At 40.4% G+C, this 7753-nt stretch overlaps 1 protein-coding gene across 2 annotated transcripts in view, besides 1 other annotated feature; it reads left to right on the forward strand.

Moving 5' to 3' along the window:
* The window catches only part of PSMG2 (proteasome assembly chaperone 2), a 67003-nt gene extending 62720 nt beyond the window's left edge, over positions 1 to 4283 (forward strand). For both annotated transcript variants that reach the window (NM_147163.2, NM_020232.5), the window contains exons 6-7: positions 3042 to 3162; positions 3982 to 4283. In NM_147163.2, coding sequence (NP_671692.1) covers positions 3042 to 3162; positions 3982 to 4074 — 214 coding nt within the window. In that variant the 3' untranslated portion in view covers positions 4075 to 4283. The remainder of the gene's footprint in view (positions 1 to 3041; positions 3163 to 3981) is intronic.
* Positions 1330 to 1831: an enhancer, noted in NCBI's record as "NANOG hESC enhancer chr18:12722786-12723287 (GRCh37/hg19 assembly coordinates)". NCBI's record gives its function as "activates a minimal SCP1, AML or CMV promoter by ChIP-STARR-seq in naive H9 embryonic stem cells {active_cell/tissue: H9 hESC(naive)}" and the evidence as "EXISTENCE:reporter gene assay evidence [ECO:0000049][PMID:30033119]".
* Positions 4284 to 7753: the final 3470 nt, after the last annotated feature.

Consider the following 7753-nt stretch of genomic DNA (forward strand, 5'->3'; position numbering starts at 1 on the left):
GCATCTGCATCCATCAGCACTGTCTACTTCTAGAACTTTGTCGTCATACTAAATTAAAAAATCTGTACCCATAAATAATAACTCCCAACTTTATTTCTGTAAAATTGGTGTTGATGTTCCCATTTTCATTTCTTATTTTAATAATTTGAGTCTTTTCTTTTTTTTCCTAGTCAAGCTAGCTAAAGATTTGTCAGTTTTGTTTTTCTTTGAAGAACCAGTTTTGATTTTGCTGATTATTGTTTTTCTATTCTCTATTATTCTATTATTCTCTATTATTTCTCTCTTACCTAATCTTTATTTTTTTCCGCTAGCTTTGGATTTGATTTGCTTTTTTTTCTCTTTTCCAAGGTGTAAACTTAGGTTATTAATTTAAAAGTTTTTTTCTTTTTTACTGAATGTGTTTACAGCTGTAAATTTTCCTCTTAGTGCTGTTTTCACTGCATGCCCTGGGATTTGACATGTCGTGTTTTCATTTTCACTCATCTCAGTATTTTCTCATTTCCCTTGTGTTTTTGTTCCGTGTTCCTCTCTTGTCCCCCTTGCAAACACCTACCTCCTTTCTAAGAGTCAACTTACCCTTCACCTCCTGTCTGCAATCTTGCCTTTTCCTGTCTTCTAGACAAGGAAGTTGCGTCTGCACTCCCACTGCACTCCACCTCTTCTATACTTTGTTGCACTTACTTTACCAATCAATCCTCCTAAACTTTTGCTTCTGACCAAGACAGAGTAACTGATATCAGACTTGCCCTCCTGCCATAAAAATACTGGAACCTGACAATTTATGAAACAACTGTTTTCCAGACATTGGACTACAGGCAGCACATAGCTGTCATCCCTAAGAGAAGGCAAATTTTAAGTCTACAGTTGCCTGGCTTTCTGCTTGAGATACTTTCTGGACTGCAGCACAGGGAGCGGAACCCAAGCAGAGCTGAGTGGAGGAAATCAGTTAAGACTACAGGGAGGCCGAGGCAACTGGAAATACAGGGCAGAGAATCCGAGGGCAGGGGTGCTGCTCATCAGAGTCCAGGGGTCTGTTTCCTTGGGTCTGTCTTCTTGGGTATAGGGTGAAACTATGAGGACAGGCAAAGAACAGCTTCTGGTTAGCTATAAGCTTGCCCACAAAGTTAGCGGTGATAAACAGAAAGTATTATAAAAGTTAGACCTACTCAGCATCAAACATTCAGGAAATGCGGATTTTACCCTGAAGAAACAATATTTAAAATACTCAGTTGTATCAACCAGAATAAAATAGTTCCAAATAAAAAAGTAATAATAATAGTCATCCTCTGCCTTTCTTTTTAGCAGAAGACCAGAGGGTAATATTGAAATGATTATCCCACACTGTGTGACAAACTAATAAGAGGCGCGATAAGCTGAAGAGCATACCCCTGCGCTTTCCAAGTTAGAGCCTTGAAAATGCAAGCACAGCCTCGGAGCCAGCCTTCTCCAGGCGAGAGCCTTGCCTGAGGCCATCACAGCAGACGCATTTAGGAACTGGAATTTTCTGAGCCATCAGAGCTCATAGTGGTTCCATACAAAGATTGAGAGCCCCTAAGGTGTTTGAGAACCAAGTACTGGGCTAGGGTGAGTGAGGCTAACAGTTTCTACTTTGTAGTTTTTAGAGACAGAAACTAAAGTTAGCCTGGTATCATCTGAGACTTCCGAATGTATATATCAGAGTCTCCTCGGTGCCTTTCCTTCCTTAGAACTCGGCTCACTTTTATTTCTGTAGCTCTCTTCTCTGTCAGTCTCGTGCTTTCAAGTTTTGGCATGGCATTTTTCTCATAGTTCTTGGTTTTAGGGTGTTAGGAGTAATTTTTGCATTTATTGGCAAGCAGGAAACTTTTTGCCTTGGTGTATCTCCATCTCATCACTAGCTTGAGGCGTTTATAGTATGATAGGAGACTATGTTTTGGAGTTAGAGAGACCTAACTAGATATAGTTAGATATAGAGACCTTACTAGATATAGAACTTTGGGCATGTTAACTATGTATTAAATCTTTTTTTCTTCATTTGCGACAGAGTCTTGCTCTGTCTCACGCAGTTCTCCTGCCTCAGCCTCCTGAGTACCTACAGGCACATGCCACCATGCCCAGCTAATTTTTATATTTTTAGTAGAGACGGGGTTTCACCATGTTGGCCAGGCTGGTCTCGAACTCCTGACCTCAAATGATTTGCCCACCTCGGCCTCCCAAAGTGCTGGGATTACAGGCTTGAGCCAGCGCGCCCAGCCTGTATTCAATCTCTTTAAACCTGTTACCTCATAAAAGTAGCTAATACTTCTTTCATATTTACTGTGTGGTCACTGTTTTAAGCATTTTGCCTCCACTACCTCCTTTCAGCCTCACAACAACCTGTGAAGTAGGTTCCATTATCATCCCCCTTTTATAGATGAGGAACACCCCTGGTTAAGTAACTTGCCCAACATATCTGGTAAGTTGAAGAGCTAGAATCTGAATCCTGGTGTCTGTCTTTGTTCCCGTTATTCCAAACTGATTCACTTATAAAATGGAGCTAATTATAGCTTCTTCAGGATTATTACAGGGATTGTCATAAAATTTGCAGATAATGCTTAACACATAATAACCACTCAGCGTTTTCGGAAGAAGTAGGAACTTTTATTTCCTTTAATGATTCCATTCTCTTCCACAGTTTCCCTCACTGCTTTAGATAGTAACTAGGTGTTATTTTCTTTCAGTCTCTGCTGTGGTGCTTCTGAAAATTACTGTCTTCTGAAGTAGGTTTGGGGAGTAGGTCAGAACATACCTTATCTGCTGTAGCCAAGGACAGAAAGGCTGGTTTTTCATGCAGCCATGGGGTGAGGCATGATTGTGCGTGTTCCCCAGTGGGTGTTACAGGGGCCTGCTCTCACAAGTAGAAAACTCTGTGTGGGGCGAAGGGAGATGATAAGTGATCTTATGGTGTGGCGTCTTTTCCTTTCCTAAACCAGGTAGGTTATCGTAGCTGTAAAAACAGACACACTAGAGTCAGCTCTTGTACCCTATGAAAGAATACTGATTCTTATTTTTATTTCTTGTAGCTGTTCTAAAGAAATCCAAATGGCAGTTCTGCTGAAATTTGTTTCAGAAGGGGACAACATCCCAGATGCATTAGGTCTTGTTGAGTATCTTAATGAGTGGCTTCAGATACTCAAACCACTTGTAAGTTCTATTATAGCTTAAGCCTCTTCTTTGTCTGGTTGTATTCATTAACTCGCACTTTATATACTACCTAAGTAGACCAAGTAAGTGAACGTTTGTATTAAATATAGACATATCTTTACATAAAATTTAGTTTAAGCTGAACTTTTGAAAATTAGAGGACAGTTAACCAACCTATTATTTACAGTTTTTTCATTAAAGCTGACTTTCCAAAAAGGAAAATCCTTAGTTCTTCATTGTACTTACTATTCATGTTAGATTAATTATGCCAGACATAGTCTTGCAATAATAAACAAGCCTTCTGTGGAATTCAGGAATTTTTTTAGGGAAGTAAAAAGTATTGCTATGTGAGCAATACTGTAGCTATTGAATATGTATTACAGTTGATATTTTTCTCTATTATGAAATGAGAGCATTACACCCAGGGAAGTGAGTTAGCCTTTAGGCATAACAGAACACTGAGCATAAGGCTGCTTTCTAAGATGGGTAACTAGCTTTTTAATTCATGCTTTTGCCAAGAACAAATTGATACAAATCACATAATGCTGATTTTTTTTTTAATCCCTATTCTTTTTGAATGTGATTTTCCCTAATAAACTTCATCTACAGCCTTTCTGGCATATCTTTATAATTTGGAACTTAAAGAAATTTATCTTCAGTTGACATGAAGACAAAGAAACTTTATTTTTCCTTAACAATAAAACCTGGCTATAAAAGTGCCAACCAAAAGGAACACAAAAGGAGAGTTTTATAATTCACTTTAAAAGGAGATTTGATGGTAAAGTTTAAAGATTAAAATATTTTGTTCTTCAATTACAGAGCGATGACCCCACAGTATCTGCCTCACGGTGGAAAATACCAAGTTCTTGGAGATTACTCTTTGGCAGTGGTCTTCCCCCTGCACTTTTCTGATCTAATTTCTGTTTTATACCTTATACCCAAAACACTTACTACCAACACAGCTGTTAAACATTCTATACAAAAAAATTGTATGATCTGGTATTAGGAAATTACTTTCACAGTAAATATCAAAGAAAAAAGATTAAGGGTCTCTTTGCCATGCTTTTCATCATATGCACCAAATGTAAATTTTGTACAATAAAATTTTATTTCCTAAGTAATTTTGTCTTAAATGTATTTTTTTTAATTTCAGACTCTCTATTAGCTTCCTAGTTTGTCTCTAATAAATCACCACAAACTTAGTGACTTAAAACACACCAGTTTAATTTTTTCATTAACTAATTAATTAATTTTCATTCTGTATTTTAAGTAAAATGAGACGAGGTCTTGCCATGTTGCCCAGGCTGGTCTCAAACTCCTGGGCTCAGGCAATCCTCCTGCCATGTCCTCCCAAAGTGCTGAGATTACAGGCATTACACCACTATGCCCAGCCACAAATTTGCTTTTAAATTCTGACTTCTGAGTTCTAGGAGTCAGAAATCCAACAGTGGGTCTGACGAGACTAAAATCAGGGTGATCGCAGGGCACTGCTCCTGAGGAAGGCCTTAGGGAGAATTTGTGTTCTGCTGTTTCCAGCTTCTAGAGGCTGCCATATTATTTGGCTCATGGGCCCTTCTATCTTCAAAGCCAGCAGCTTAGCATCTTCAAATCTCTCAGTTATAAAAGGACCCTGTGATTGCATTGGGCCCACCCCAATAATCCAGGATAGTTTCCCCATTTTAGAATAATTTTACTATAAAAGAAATAATAAAAATAGTTATCATTTTCGAGTGCCTGCTGCATACTAGTCACTGTTCACCCCTAGTCTTTGGGATGTACGATTTCACTGTGTTACCTCTGTGCCTTGGCTCTCTCATCTGTAACACAAGGGCTTGTAATATTTAAGGATACAACTACTTCCCAGCACTCCGGAAAGGTTTCCTTTTGATATGTAAATCATGCTGGATTCTGTGGCCTATTTCTGTTTCCCTTTTGGTTAAAATATGAAATGGGGGTTGACATCAGCAAGATGGCAAAATAGGAAGTACCAGTCCTCATTACCCCACAGAGACACCAGTTTAATTTATAGACCAGGATACCAGAAACCAGTTAAGTTGCAGTATCCCCAGGTGAGTGCAAAATTAAGAACAGCCACGTTGAAATGAGTAAGAAGAGTCATTTCACTTTACTCCACCCAGGATGACAGCCCAGCATGATGGCGAGTACGCCAGCTCCTGGCTTTTCCCTGGGTTGAAGGGGGCAGACTCGGTGAGGGGGAGAGAGGTAGAGAACGTTGGAGCATGTGACCAAGATTCTGACTCTTTCGTCTTGTCTGACTTGGAATACTGACAGAACTGGCATCCTTTGGATGTCTGGAGTCTGCTAAAAGCACGGGAGAGTTGGAGGATCGTTTGCCGTGCCACCAGAGCCTGTAGTACCACAGACAGGCCAGTGTGGCTGGACACCACCAAGAGAAATCACCCAACTTGCATTTTCTCTCCCAGGAGGAATGGAACTTACACGCCAGCATTGCAGCTTTTTGTAGTGCTGCCCAAGGGACTGTTGCCCATCTCATCTAACTTGGGGTGCTTATAGGAAGCTGTCATGCTTTGCCAGAGAGCCACTGAGAACAAAGGGGCGACTTGCAGCTGCAGCACTAGGGAACGTGCAATTCTGAAGACAGACACCAGAGGGAGCAAGAGATTACAAGATGAAAAACCAGCAACCTTCAGTTGGGAAATAACACAATCCTAAAAAGTTGAACTTGGAAAAACATTTAAGAGGTTTCAGAATCTCTACCTGGGCTAGCTGGTGAAGGTCTGCCCTGTACAAAGCCAGTATGCAAAGATTGGGAGTGGCCGAGTGTAGTGCCTTACACCTATAACCCCAGCACTTTGGGAGGCTGAGGTGGGAGGATCACCTGAGGTCAGGAGTTCGCGACCAGCCTGACCAATATGGTGAAACCCCATCTCTACTAAAAATACAAAAAAACAAATTAGCCAGACATGGTGGCACACACTTGTAATCCCAGCTATGCGGGAGGCTGAGGCAGGAGAATTGCTCAAACCCAGAAGGCGGCGGTTGCAGTGAGCCAAGATCATGCCACTGCACTCCAACCTGGGCAACAGAGCGAGACTCTGTCCCAAAAAGAAAAAGAAAATATGAGGCTCACTGGCAAACTAAATATAGACAAATGCAGAATCCTTCAGGACTATAATGGTAGTGCACTTTTAATTCTGGTCCAGAATTGACAAGACAAAGCATAAAAATAACTGTAACTGGCCAGGCACGGTGACCCACACATGTCATCCCAGCACTTGGGGAAGATTTCTTGAAGCCAGGAGTTTAAGACCAGCCTGGGCAAAAAAGTGAAGCCCCATCTCTAAAAATCAAAACAAACACTGTAACTATAAAAATATGTTAAAATATCTTAATGGGTACGCACTATGTAAAGGTGTAATTTGTGACATCAATAATTTTTTTTTTAGCTTTTGCACAGCAAAACAAACAGCAGAGTAAGCAGACAACCCACAGAGTGGGAGAAATTTGCAAACTATGCATCCGACAAAGGAATAATATCCAGAATCTATAAGGAACTCAAATGAGCAAGAAAAAAATAATCCCATTACAAAGTGGCAAAGAACATAAATAGACAATTCTCAAAAGAAGATATACAAGCAGCCAACGAACATGAAAAAATGCTCAACATCGCTAATCATCAGGGAGATGTTAAGACCGCAATGAGATATCACCTTACTCCTGCAAGAACGATCATAATTAAAAAGTCAAAAAAACAATAGATGTTGGTGTGAATGTGGTGAAAAGGGAACACTTCTACACTGCTGGTGGGAATGTAAATTAGTACAACCACTATGGGAAACAGTGCGGAGATTCCTTAAAGAACAAAAAGTAGAACACCATCTGATCCAGCAATCCCACTACAGGGTATATACCCAAAGGAAAATAAGTCATTATATGAAAAAGACACATGCACACACGTTTATAGCAGCACAATTCACAATTGCAAAGATATAGAACCAACCTAAGTGACCATCAACCAATGAGTGGATAAAGAAAATGTGGTATATTCATCGTGGAGTACTACTCTTCAGCCATAAAAAGGAATGAAATAATGTCTTTTGCAGCAACTTGGATGGAGCCAGAGGCCATTATTCTAAGTAAAGTAACTCAGAAATGGAAAACCAAATATTGTACCTCTCACAAGTGGGAGCTAAGCTATGAGGGCTCAAAGGCATAAGAATGATATAATGGACTTTAGCAGGCCAGGCACAGTGGCTCACACCTGTAACCCCAGCACTTTGGGATGTCAAGGTGGGTGGATCACTTGAGGCCAGGAGTTCGAGACCAGCCTGGCCAACATGGTGAAACCCTGTCTCTACAAAAAAAAAAAAATACAAAAATTAGCTGGATGTGGCGGCATGTGCTTGTAGTCCCACCTACTAGGGAGGGTGAGGCACAAGAATCACCCAGGAGGTGGAGGTTGCAGTGAGCCAAGATTGCACCACTGCACTCCAGCCTAGGCAACAAAACAAGACTCCATCTCAGGGTAAAAAAAAAAAAAAAGAATGATATAATGGACTTTGAGGACTTAGCCAGGGAGGTTTGGAGGGGGTGAGGAATAAAACACTAC

Source organism: Homo sapiens, chromosome 18, assembly GCF_000001405.40.
Source record: "Homo sapiens chromosome 18, GRCh38.p14 Primary Assembly".
Lineage (NCBI taxonomy): Eukaryota > Metazoa > Chordata > Mammalia > Primates > Hominidae > Homo > Homo sapiens.